The sequence below is a fragment of the Homo sapiens genome, chromosome 7, assembly GCF_000001405.40.
Source record: "Homo sapiens chromosome 7, GRCh38.p14 Primary Assembly".
In the NCBI taxonomy this organism is placed as follows: domain Eukaryota; kingdom Metazoa; phylum Chordata; class Mammalia; order Primates; family Hominidae; genus Homo; species Homo sapiens.
Window position 1 is genome coordinate 152,986,034 of NC_000007.14, and position 13,444 is coordinate 152,999,477.

General features: G+C 42.1%; 3 annotated features.

Moving 5' to 3' along the window:
• Positions 217 to 967: an enhancer, noted in NCBI's record as "OCT4-NANOG hESC enhancer chr7:152683335-152684085 (GRCh37/hg19 assembly coordinates)". NCBI's record gives its function as "activates a minimal SCP1, AML or CMV promoter by ChIP-STARR-seq in naive and primed H9 embryonic stem cells {active_cell/tissue: H9 hESC(naive and primed)}" and the evidence as "EXISTENCE:reporter gene assay evidence [ECO:0000049][PMID:30033119]".
• Positions 2,839 to 3,834: an enhancer, noted in NCBI's record as "NANOG-H3K27ac-H3K4me1 hESC enhancer chr7:152685957-152686952 (GRCh37/hg19 assembly coordinates)". NCBI's record gives its function as "activates a minimal SCP1, AML or CMV promoter by ChIP-STARR-seq in primed H9 embryonic stem cells {active_cell/tissue: H9 hESC(primed)}" and the evidence as "EXISTENCE:reporter gene assay evidence [ECO:0000049][PMID:30033119]".
• Positions 3,835 to 4,828: an enhancer, noted in NCBI's record as "OCT4-NANOG-H3K27ac-H3K4me1 hESC enhancer chr7:152686953-152687946 (GRCh37/hg19 assembly coordinates)". NCBI's record gives its function as "activates a minimal SCP1, AML or CMV promoter by ChIP-STARR-seq in primed H9 embryonic stem cells {active_cell/tissue: H9 hESC(primed)}" and the evidence as "EXISTENCE:reporter gene assay evidence [ECO:0000049][PMID:30033119]".

The window sequence follows — 13,444 nt, forward strand, 5'->3', positions numbered from 1 at the left end:
GTAACTTTATGAGGCAGGTATTGTTAATATCCTCATTATACAGATGGGGAAACTGAGGCAGATAGCATAGCAATAACTTGACAAAGACCAAGAGCTAGCAAGTGGCAGATTCAGTATTTGAACTGAGGTCAGTTCAACCCCAGAGTCCATAAGATGGACCCACTTCAACACGCCTCTGTCACTTTTCCGGTCTGGAATGTTTGAATGTGGTACCTGCAGCTTTGCTCAGGGGCTGGATCCCTAGGAGAGCAAGCCTTAGGGGATGAACCCAAGATGCTGGTTTTATTTGTACTAAATCCTGAACAACTGAGCTGACTAGGCTCAGATCATTGACAATAATTTGCTTTGCATCATAACAAACTGTTCTTTTGTTATTATCGTTGTTGTCACCGTTATTTTTCATTGGCAAAGTGCTCTTGCAGTGTTATTTGCAACTCTGGTAAATCGATGGCTTCTAAATTAAGTCCAGTCCAAGCTGGCTGTTATGAATTCTGCTGGAGCTGCCCACGCATTTTGGCAAGAGCACCCAACTGGGGTGAGCCCTGTATTAGCATTTTAATTGCTGGCTGATTGCTTTCCTGTTGCAAGACTTAGCCCACAAAGGTATGCAAGCAAGTTTCAATTAGTTCTTATCCTGTGATTTACTGAACCTATAAAGAACATCTCCCTGTAGCACTTGGAAAGTAATACCCTTAATGTACTAAAAGCAATACAGAACATTAAAGAAAAAGAATTGCCTTTACCAAGGTGTGCGCGTCTAGAGTCCCAAGGAAAATTCCTGTTTGAATGATAGTAAATTTTCTTGGGTGAGTTCTCATTGAAATGAAATGAAACACACAAAAAACAAGCCCTTCCAAATTCCAGCTTCAGAATTATCTCCTTAATATGGAAATATCATCCCTGAGGTTTTCCCCTTGGCCTACTAGGGAAAGATAGTTTTGTGGGGGAAGATAGTTCATCAAAATGACATTTGTTATTGAGTTTGTATGAGTTTCTTATATGTTGTGGCTATTAACTCCTTATCAGAGATACAGTTTGCAAATATTTCTCCCCATTCCATAGGTTGCCTTTTTATTTTGTTAATTGTTTCCTTTGCTCTGCAGAAGCTTTTTAATTTGATGTAGTTCCACTTGTTTGTTTCTGCTTTTATTGTCTGTGCTTTTGTGTCACCTCCAAAAAAACCTGAACAACGTGATTAAGAAATGGGCAAAGGATCTTTGCATTAGCTCATTTTCACGCTGCTGATAAAGACATACCTGAAACTGGGAAGAAAAAGAGGTTTAATTGAACAGTTTCATATGGCTGGGGAGGCCTCAGAATCATGGCAGAAGGTGAAAGGCACTTCTTATATGGCAGCGGCAAGAGAAAAATGAGGAAGAAGCAAAAGTGGAAATCCCTGATAAACCTGTCAGATCTCATGAGACTTATTCACTATCATGAGACTAGCATGGGAAAGACTGGCTCCCATGATTCAGTTATCTCCTCCTGGGTCCCTCCCACAACACATGGGAATTCTTGGAGATACAATTCAAGTTGAGATTTGGGTGGGGACACAGCCAAACCATATCAATATTAATAGACATTTTTGCAAAGAAGATGTACAAATGGCCAACAGGTATATGAAAGATGCTCAGCATTACTGGTCATCAGAGAAATGCAAATCAAAACTACAATGAGATATCACCTCATTCCTGTTAGGATGGCTGTTACCAAAAAGACAAATGTTGGTGAGGATGGGAGAAAAGGGAGCCTTCGTGCACTGTTGATGGGAATGTAAATTGGTACAGTCATCATGGAAAACATTAGGGAGATTCATCGAAAATTAAAAATAGAACTGCCATATGACTCAGCAATTCCACTGCTAGGTATATATCCAAAAGAAATGAAATCAGTATGTCCAGGAGATATCTGTACTCCTGTTTTCACTGCAACACTATTCACAATAGCCAAATTGTGGAAACAACCTAAGTGTTCATTGATGGATGAATGGATAAATAAACTGTAGTATATATATATATACACATGAGAGCACTATTTAGCCTTAAAAAAAGGGAAATCCTGCCATTTGTGACAATGTGAATGAGCTTGAAGGACATTATTCTAAGGGAAATAAGCCAGACAAAGACAAATATTGTGTGACATCACCTATATGTGGAATCAAAATCGTTGCACTTTGAGTAACAAGTAGAGTGGCAGTTGTCAAGGTCCTGGGGACGGGGGAGATGGGGAGTTGTTGATTAAAGGGTACAAACTTTCAGTTATAAGATGAATAAATTCTGGGGATCTAATGTACAGCATGGTGTTAGTAATAATGTATCTTATATTTGAAATTTGCTAAGAGACTATAGTTAGTAATAATGTATCTTATATTTGAAATTTACTAAGAGAATAGATCTCCAGTGGTATCATTACACACACAGAAATGGTAACTATGTGAGGCAATGGATGTGTTAATTAGCTTGATTGCAAGAATCATTACACAAGGTATACTTAAATCACCATGAAGTGCACTATGAATATATTCAATTATTTTTGTCAATCACCCCTCAATAAGGCTGGAAACAAAGAATGACATTTGTTAAGCTTAGCAAATTAATATACCATGTTCCTAGTTACTCTGGTTATTGTATTTAAGAATTGGAAGTTGGCACCCTTTGAAACAATCAGATAGCTTGCCAAAACACAGATTCCTGGGCCCTGTCTCCACAGAGTTTGATTCAGTATGTCTGTAGCCGTAACCACAGCAGCCTTCATGTTCCCTCAGCTGGACTGACCTTTAGACAGGTTTTTTCCTCCTATAGGTCCCTGACCTCCCTTTCTTTAGAACATTTACTTTAGGAAACTTGGAATTGTAAATTCTTTGAGATGTAAATCTTCTTCCAGCCTCTTGCCAGTTTTACAACCCAAGAGTGACTTTCTCAAGGACCTAGGAGCCATCTCTTTGAGATATAATCATCAAGGAAGACAGGTCTCCAGTGGCTGTCCAGTCTCTCTGGGAGGGTGGGAGCCTAACTTTGATAAGCTCCAATTAGCAAACACAGATGCCTAATCACATTGACCAGTCTCTCCCATAACATCCTCCAAGACTTCTCCACTAGTTCACCCAGCACTCAAAGTCCCCTGCCTTCTGTTTCAGCAGAGTGGAGTTTATTCTCTCTCCTCTATTGCACTTGTCTTGGCCCTGATTGCAATACTCTTGAATACAGTCTCCCTACCCTGTTTAACCTCTGCCCAGTGCAATTTTTCTTCTGCGCTGAGTTTGGCTAAACTCAGTCTGGCTTGAGTTTCTGCATTTATAATAAGCTCCCAGGTGATGCTGATGATGCTGGCCTATGGGCAACACCTTAAATAGAGACTTTAAATAGTTGGAGGCAGCACAAATGGAAGAAATGCAGGGTATGTACCTTGGAAGACCTTAGGGTACTTGTCCTGCTCTCTGTCCTGAGATCAAAGCAAGAAAGCATCTCACTTGGGGTTGGGGTGGGCTGTGATTTCATTATTGGTGCCTCCTGGAGACAACACGGACCATCCTGACAGGTCAGCTGGTACTGCTAAGGTGTCTTGTTGACTGGTTGCCTTTTGTACCATCTAACTCCTTGGGTCCTGGAATTCTTCCTCTTGTTGGGGAGGATAAAACTGTAGTTACACCCTAGCAACTGTAAATTCTTTATTTTTACAGTTTTATTTATTTATTTAAATCATTTTGGCTTTGATGTTAGATTCAGGGGGTACGTGTGCAGGTTTGTTACCTGGGTTATAATTTTACAACTGTAAAGGAGACCAGTATTTTCAGGCCTCCCTTCTGCAGACTTCTTAAATCTCAAGGCTTTTGGCACAACTTTAATAGTATCTTCTGGTGTGAGTGAGATCAAGCTGTGGAATATGATGAGGTTTCCCTTCACACAGCCTGATCAGTCCTTTCTTCTTTAATTGGTAGTACCCTGCCCCCCCCCACCCCTTTTTCCTTTTTCTCTTTTCTGCCTTTGTTACATGCCCGGACATGCCACAGTACAGGCTTATCAGTACCAGCTCCCATTCCTTTCCTTATTTGGAAAGGAGACTAGCTCTCTAGCTCATTGCAGACACCCCTTCCTCTTTTTTTTCCCCCTCTCTCCCTTACGTGCTCACCTTATCTAAAGAAAGTTCAAATATCTAGCCAACCAGGATTAGTTCAGATTGTTCGACCCGACCCCGGCCAATGGGGAAAGGGTGCGGGGCAGGACTTGCATCAGGAATAAAGGCTCTCATGCCTCTTTGTTCGGGTGTGCTCTCATGGTGACTGGCCAAGGAGGCACCCCTCTGCACGGAAGTAAAATTGCTTTGCTAAGAATTCTTTGTTTGAATGTTCAATCTCCTTAGGATTTTGAGCGTTTATTCCCAACAATTCACTTGCTAATGACTTGGTCTTAACGTAAACTTTCACTGCAGCCTTCAAGGTGTTCATGGATCCCCTAAAGAGACCATCTTCAGGGCTGTCCATGCTTTGGTGTTCATGCTAGACTGAAAGGGGAGCAAAGAGAAGATCTTCCACATTTCGTGTTAAAAAAAATGTTTAGGCAAATTAATAAAAAGGAATTGTGCTTCATGTAATCATATATATTTTTTAGTTTTCTACTAGTGTTTGAAACCACTAAGAAGATAAAAGACATGACCAAAATGGCAATAGTAATTTTTGTATAAATCAATCTTCTAAATTTAGAATTTTTCTCAAATCACAAATAACAATTTTATAAAATGCTATTGTTGCTTGTAGAAGGTAAATAATAAACCCAGCACCCTCTCGCTATCCATCAATGGTGGTGTAATTGGTGCTATCCTATTTCTTAAGGTCTTTCCTTCAAAGAATACTAAGAACCCATTAACTTGTGCCATTGCCCTGGGATAAGAGGAACGGAAGTCAGGAGGGCTTTTGTGAAAAAAGAGATATTTAAATGTATCCTATTTATTTATCATTTCTATCATCTATCTAATCTATCCATCCATCATCTATTTATCTATTTATCCACCATCTATTTGGGAAAGGAAAATAAAATCTCAGGACCCCAAACTCACTATGCCAAAGGGAAAAGTTAAGCTTGGGAACTGAGTCATGCAAAAAACTGCCTTCCGTTTGTTCCTCAACAGATAGCTGCAAAGATAGAAGGCCACATATCTCCCCAGGTGGCCTCCTTCCCCCTAACATGTAAATTAACAGCTTATCTTCATAGGTACGGGACAAAGACAAGGCTAGAAATTATCCCTCCACCTACCCTGAGACAAATGTATATTTAATTTCTTCCTCTACTTGATGTTAACTTTATTGTATGTAAAATGCAGATTAAAAATTTTTTTATTTTAAGTTCTGGGATGCATGTGCAGAATGTGCAGGTTTCATAGGTAGATGTGTGCTATGGTGGTTTGCTGCATCCATCAACCCATCACCTAGGTATTAAGTCCAGCATGCATTAGCTGTTTATCCTGATGTTCTCCCTCCCCCTGACCCCTGACAGGCCCCAGTGTGTGTTGTTCCCCTCCCTGTGTCCATGTGTTCTCATTGTTCAGCTCCCACTTATGCGTGAGAACATGTGGTGTTTGGTTTTCTGTTCCTGTGTTAGTTTGCTGAGGATAATGGCTTCCAGTGTCATCCATGTCCCTGCAAAGGACATGATCTCATTCTTTTTATGGCTGCATAGTATCCCATGGTGTGTATGTACCACATTTTCTTTATCCAGTCTATGACTGATGGGCATCTGGGTTGATCCCATGTCTTTGCTATTGTAAATAGTGCTGCAGTGAACAAACAAGTGCATGTGTCTTTTTTATTTAATGATTTCTTTCCCTTTGGGTAGATGCCCCGTAGTGGGATTGCTGGGTCAAATGGTATTTCTGGTTCTAGATCCTTGAGGAATCGCCACACTGTCTTCCACAATGGTTGAATAATTTACAGTCCCACCAACAGTGTAAAAGTATTCCTATTTCTCAACAGCCTCACCAGCATCTGTTGTTTCTTGACTTTTTAATAATCACCATTCTGACTGGCATGAGATGGTATCTCATTGTAGTTTTGATTTGCATTTCTCTAATGATCAGTAATGTCGAGCTTTATTTCATATGTTTGTTGGCCACATAAATGTCGTCTTTTGAGATGTGTTCTGTTCATGTACTTTGCCCACTTGTGATGGAGTTGTTTGTTTTTTTCTTGTAAATCTATGTAAGTTCCTTGTAAATTCTGGATATTAGACCTTTGTCAGATGGGTAGATTGCAAAAATTTTCTCCCATTCTGTAGGTTGCCTGTTTGCCCTGATGATGGTTTCTTTTGCTGTGCAGAAGCTCTTTAGTTTAATTAGGTCCTATTTATTAGTTTTTGCTTTTGTTGCAATTGCTTTTGGTGATTTTATCATAAAATTTTTGCCCATGCCTATGTCCTGAATGGTATTGTCTAGCTTTTCTTCTAGGGTTTTTATAGTTTTGGGTTTTACATTTAAGTCTTTAATTCATTTTGAGTTAATTTTTGTATAAGGTATAAGGAAGGGGTCCAGCTTCAGTTTTTTGTAAGATGCAGATTTACTGAGTGTAAGATGAATGCATAATTGACTGTTCCTCTTGCCCCTCCTGCTCATTCTTTCCCCTTTAAATAATTAGGTGCTCAAAATCCTCTTTGGAAAAAGCACAGGCCACAGATCCCATGTGACTTGTGTCTGTTTTTCCTGGGCATGTTCTCAACCTTGCAAAATAAACCTCTAGACTGATTGGGACCTGCTTCAGATGCCAGATGCTTTGTGATTTACATTATCTATCTATCTATCTATCTATCCATCCATCCATCCATCCAGATGGAAGAGATACTCAAAAGCGGAAGAAAATTATGTCCTCGGCAGAATATACTGCAGATCTGTGCATCAGTAGCTGTGGTCAGTGGGCCTTTGTGATCAGGGCAAGTATGATATGTGAATAAGTTATTCCTAAATCTTTTCTCCGTAACAGTCAGATCTCAGGATGTACATGTTTGTGTTCATATATGAGTGGCTGAAGATAGCCAAGAGTGGTTGAGTGAGGCCTAGTTATAGGAGTCAAAACTATACGACCTCTAGAAGAAAGCAGGAAAAAAATATTGTTACACTGGATTGGACATTGTGCCAAAGAGAACAACCACAAAAAATATTAACTGAAAAGTGGAAAAAATTCATATAGCCTGCTGCATAGAAAGGTGCAGCGAAGAAAATGAAAAGGTAAATCAAAGGCTGAGAGAATATGTGTACAGAAGATATTTTTTTAAAAACCTATTTTTTTGCTTTAGTGCAGAATATATAAAAAACTCTACAACCCAATAATAAAAGTCAGCCAAATAAAATGAACAAAAGGTTTTTTTTATGGACTCTATACTAAAGAAGACACAGGAATCGTCAACAAGCACATGAAAAGCTGTTCAGCATTACTGGTCATCAGAGAATGCAAATTAAAAACACATTGATCTATGCCTTACACTACCTAGAATGGCAAGATTTAAGACAGACAATACTTAGGCTTTGGTGAAGGCATGGAACAGCAGAACTCTCATGTATTGATGGTGGGAATGGAAAATGGTGCAGCCACTTTGGAAAACAATCTGGCAGTTTCTTTTACAGTTAAAAAATACTTATCATGGGCCGGGCACTTTGGGAGGCTGAGGTGGGCAGATCACAAGGTCAGGAGTTTGAGACCAGCCTGGCCAACATGGTGAAACCCCATCTCTACTAAAAATACAAAAATTAGCTGGGTGTGGTGGCGGGCACCTGTAATCCCAGATACTCGGGAGGCTGAGGCAGGAGAATCCTTTGAATCCGGGAGGTGGAGGTTGCAGTGAGCCGAGATCGTGCCATTGTACTCCAGCCTGGGTGACAGTGCAAGACTGTGTCTCAAAAAAAAATACTTATCACATGATCCTGCCATCCTATATGAAAACATACATCCACACAGACTTGTAAGTGAATGTTCACAGTAGGTGTATTTATAATAGCTCAAACTGGGAACAACCCAAATGTTTACCAACAATAGAACATGTAAACAGATCTTAGTGTAGCCATCCAATGGACTACTATCTAGCAATGAAAAAGAGTGCACCATTGGCCACATGGCAACAGGGATAAATCTCAGGAGTGTTAGAGCAGGTGAAAGAAGCCTGACACTAAAAGTACCGTGATTCCATTCATCGGACAGAGGAAACGATAGCCATAGACAATCAGTGGTTGCCTTGCTCTGGGGGGTCAGGAGAGAGGGAGCTGACAGTGAAGGAGCATGGAGGAGCTTTTGGGGAGATGGAAATGTTTTTAATCTTGATTGTCATGGTGGTTACATGACTACATATTTGCCAAAACAGTACAACTGAACACATAAGATGGGTGAATGATATTGTATGTAAATTACACCTCAATTAACCTGGGGCAAAAGGGTGATTAACTGAAGCCAACCAAGGCTGTCCAAGGAGCAGCTGTTAGAAGAAGCTTCCTGGTTAGAAGGAACAGGCTTAGAAGCTAGCTCTTCTGAGGGCGAATCCCAGCCCTGCCCCTTGGTGTGTGACTTTGGGCAAGTTACTTGCCTCTCTGGGCCTTAGGTTCTTAATATGCAAAATGAAGATAATGGAATAGACGTTTGTTATGGCCTGAATGTTGGTGTCTCCCCAAAATTTGTGTGTGAGAATCCTAACCTCCAGAGTGATGGTGTTAGGAGGCAGGGCCTTTGGGAGGCCCTTGGGTCATGAGGGAGGCACTTTCATTAATGGGATTAGTGCCCTTACATAAGGGACCTCAGGCTGGGCACAGTGGGTCACACCTGCAATCCCAGCACTTTGGGAGGATAAGGCCAGAGGATTTCTTGAGGCAACATAGTGAGACCCTCATCTCTATAAAATAAATAGATAAATAAGTAAAACTAAAAGAGGGTCAGAGAGCTCCCATATCCCTTCCATCATGTGAGGTTACAAGGAGAAGTTGGCCACCTGTAATCCAGAGGAGGTTCTGGTCATCACCAGAACTGACCATGCTGGTGGCCTGAGTTTGGAATTCCATCCTTTAGAACTGTGAGAAATAAATTTGTACTTTTTTTTTGAGACAGGGTCTTGCTCTGTCACCCATGCTGCAGTGCAGTGGCGTGATCACGGCTCACTGCAGCCTCAACCTCCTGGGCTCAAGTGATTCTCCCACCTCTGCCTCCCAAGTAGCTGGAAGTACAGACATGCACCACCATACCTGGCTAATTTTTAAATTTTGTGTAGAGATGGGGTCTCACTATGTTGCCCAGGCTGGTCCTGAACTCCTGGGCTGAATCAATCCTTCTGCCTTGACCTCCCAGGGTGCTGGGATTACAGGCATGAGCCACTGAATCCAGCCAAAATAAATTTCTATTCTTCATGAGACACCCAGTCTATGTCTGCGCTAATTTGTTATAGCAGCCTGAACTGACTAACAACCATATAGGGTTTCCATGAGGATTAAAAGGATTACTAGGCTGGGCTTGGTGGCTCATGCCTGTAATCCCAGCACTTTGGGAAGACAAGGCTGGATGGTTGCTTGAGGCCAGGAGTTTAAGGCCAGCCTCGGCAACATAGCAAGACTCTATCTCTACTATATTAGAATAAAAAGAAATTAAAATAAATAAAGGAATTGATATTTGTTTATTTTTATTTTTTTTGAGAGGGAGTCTCACTCTGTCGCCCAGGCTGGAGTGCAGTGACGTGATCTTGGCTCACTGCAACCTCTGCCTCCTAGGTTCAAGTGATTCTCCTGCCTCTGCCTCCTGAGTAGCTGAGATTACAGGCACCCACCATCATGCTCAGCTAATTTTTGTATTTTAGTTGAGACCAGGTTTCACCATGTTGGTCAAGCTTGTCTTGAACTCCTGACCTCAAATGATCCAGCCACCTTGGCCTCTCAAAGTGATGGGATTACAGGCATGAGCCACCGTGCCCGGCCAAGAATTAATATTTGTAAGTAAAAACACGTAGAAGGCTACTCAGCTCCTCCATAATAAATAAAGCCTCACCTTTGTCCCTGAATCTTGTGGGCTGTTGGCCAGTTTCTTGACAGTCTAAAGGAAGAGGTCAACTTCTCTGGAGACAAGAGGGCAAATAGATGTCCTGCCTCCAAAATGCCTAGTCTAAGCAAACTTCTGGTCTGGAGGGATGGGAGAAGCTGCTTGCAGCTTGTGGAGATGAGACATATATTTTACAACTTGCAGAGTAGCCTCTCCTCTTCTAGAGGAATATTTGCCAAATGTTGGGGGCAGGTAAACAGGCACAGGGGTTCATAAAACCTAGACCATACTTGCTCCGGAGTAGTTTCCAAAAGAGGGATCCTTGGAATCCCTGTTTCACAGGACACTTTGAGAAAGGATTTGTTGCTTAGAAAATATTAGAGAGCATTAGACAATTGGCAATTAAAAGCGTTTCTTTATTGCTTGATTCTAGTCTGTATTTTGCTAATGTACCTTGTAAATCTGTGAAATGACGGTGAGATAGGGAGCATTTTCCAAACTTATTTAAATTTGTCAACTCTTCTCGTCTCATAACAAATCTTCCATAGCACATAGTCTGGGGAAAAAGGTGCCCCAGAGACATGTGGGTTACCTATATCTACCTATCTGCATTTAGTAGTGTTGGCAGGGATTCTGTGAAGTCAGAAGTGCCCTGGTTCTAGCAAGGTGAAGTCAGTTACCACCAAATTCAGAACGGATTTCTCCAGAGGAAATAACCCGCATGGCAACTCACGGCAAGAAGTGTCCTTCTAGGGAAAGGAGTTTTCATCCATGTGCACACTCTCCAAGCAGAGCCTCTGGATCTGGGTAAATATGTCTGTGGGGTCATGTGGGGTGCGTAGTGTTGGAATGAGCATATACTGCGTTGTTCATTGATGTCCCCTAGTGTTTCAATCAGTTGCTTTTATTGTTAATGCTTTCTCTCTCTACAGTTTATAATAATTTCTCCATGCTTAAGAGTTGTCCGTAACTTGGCCTTATGGATACCAGAAAGTCCCAACTATCTCTCATTACCTGAAGCTGTACCTGAAATGTCTCCATCAAATTGACTCTTCTTGGGTTAAGTTATCATTTCCAGAATGCTTGTGGAAGAAGGCACACATTGTTGGCAGCATTTACCCAGGAATAATTGATCAGAGTAGGCTGGACAACAGGCAGGGCCCAAGGTCATGCAGAGCTCCTTGAGGGAAGAGAATGGGAACTTGTGGGCAGGTGGGCCGTGAGCCCCCAGGAACTTGGCACAGCAGCAGGACCCTGGCACTTAAGCGGGGGAGTTGGGCAGAACATCCTCCTCCGGGATTCTTGCTGATTTCCCAGGCTCAGGCTCTCCCAGCTCCATTGGGCCTCCTGTGTACAGAGGTACTTCTAAAATTACTGTCTACAAGAAATATATTTGTGGTATGCTGTTCTTAAGCTCTAGTTCACTGAAGATTTGAAGGTTCTGGGGAGGTAGTATCATCTTCTGGCTCCAGCCTGTCTCCTCTTCCATCACCTCCTGACTCTCTAGAGAAAAGATTCCATCTACACATCTGACCCTGGATATCTCATCTTCTACTCTAAGTACTTTTCAAGAGGTCCTCCCAGCAAATAGATCTTCTTCCTAAAAGCATTTCTAAAACTAGCTGTTAAAAATGTTCAAATTTCTCCACTTTCTCCGTTAGGATCAGCCAGAAGAGAGAAGCAACTTTGATTTATAAAGTAGGAAGAGACTCGATATTGAGAACTGTGAGATTAAACAACCACTGGAAAGCTGAGGAAGTGAAGACAAGGGAGGTTATTTTCGGGAAATCTGGAAGTGTAGAGATTGCTGGAAATCATACCTTTAATAGCATCAAAGTGGGAGAGTCTTGGGAGGACACCCAGAGATGTTGAAGATGCCAATGAATGCTGTCAATACAGCACCAGCAGGTGAACTGAGAGCCTGTGATTGTTTATCTTGCAAGTTCCAAGCCACTGAGAATAATGGCATCCTCTTTTTATCCTGCCTGCCAAGTCCTGCACAAGTTTCTCGTTGGAGGTATCAAATTGGGATCTGGCTGGCAAGGGGTCTGGGAAATGTTATTTCCAGTGCAGGGTGAAGGATGCTGAGGATCAAAAGCAACGTCCAACACATCCCTGGTTTATACACAATTTCAGGAGGCGAAGGAAAAGGAGGGAGAGATTCTAGGCAGGCAAGTGGCATGACCGAAGGACAGCGTAGGGCACAGGCCTGAGGCCAGGCCCACAGAAGCTTAGGGTGTCTCTGTCACAGGAGGGGCTGGAAGTCAGATGGTGACCAGGTTGTGGGGCTTGTGAGTGCCACAGGAAGGGTCCAGTGAAGACATTACATGAGGAAGTCATGTGATTAGGAAAAGGTGTTGGGAAAACTGAAGGGCTGGAAGTGGGGACAAGGCTCGGTTGGTTGCGCTGACTTTTCTCCCTTCTCCTGGATCTGGATCCTGGGTTTGGATTGTTTCCCGTCACAGTCACTGAGAGGGCGATGACTTGAAGGAAACAACATTGTCCCAGCAGGAGCAGTCAGGACAGTTGTAAACCCCTATGCTTTATTATCTGTGTACTTGCCACCAATTTAACAGGGTCTTGAACAAGGTCACAAGAAAATAGCCTCTTCCCCTGATGAACTGCTGATGCAGTGTCAGTTACTGGGGTTGGCAAAATAAACCTGCTTTTATAGGCTGTTTGCTTTCAAGGGTGAAAGCTCTTGAAAATTATATTTGGGTCCATTTTTCTGTCAACCTTTAAACTGTGACACATGAGTGTGCTTGGGGATTGGTGCTTTCCTTGTGGGGTCTCCGGTTCTAACTGAATCGATCAACCCATCAGTCAATCAGTCTATTACACAAAGCCCGGAAGGGTGGTGTCAGGGCTTCTGGGGACAACGTGGCAAGAATTAAAGTAATGGAAGATTTCAATGTCCCACTGATGAGGCTGGGCTTAATTCTGATGCAAGACCGAGGCTTGGAAGGGCTTGGAAAGGCGTTGTATTAGTCTGCTTTTGCACTACTGTGCAAAAGAATCTGAGACTGTGTAATTTATACTTGTGTATGCCTCATGAAGTTCTCGTGCTGTGTTTTTCAGCTCCATCAGGTCATTTAGTTTCTTCTCTAAACTGGTTATTCTAGTTAGCAATTCGTCTAACCTTTTTTCAGGGTTCTTAGCTTCCTTACTTTGGGTTAGAACATGCTCCTTTAGCTCGGAGGAGTTTGTTATTTCCCACTTTCTGAAGCCTACTTCTGCCAGTTCATCAAACTCATTCTCCATCCAGTTTTGTTCCCTTGCTGGGGAGGAGTTGTGATCCTTTGAAGGAGATCAGGTGTTCTGGTTTTTGGAATTTTCAGCCTTTTAGCACTGGTTTCTCCCCATCTTCGTGGATTTATCTACCTTTAGTCTTTGATGTTGGTGACCTTCGGATGGGGTCTCTGAGTGGATGTGCTATTCCTTTCTGTTAGTTTTCCT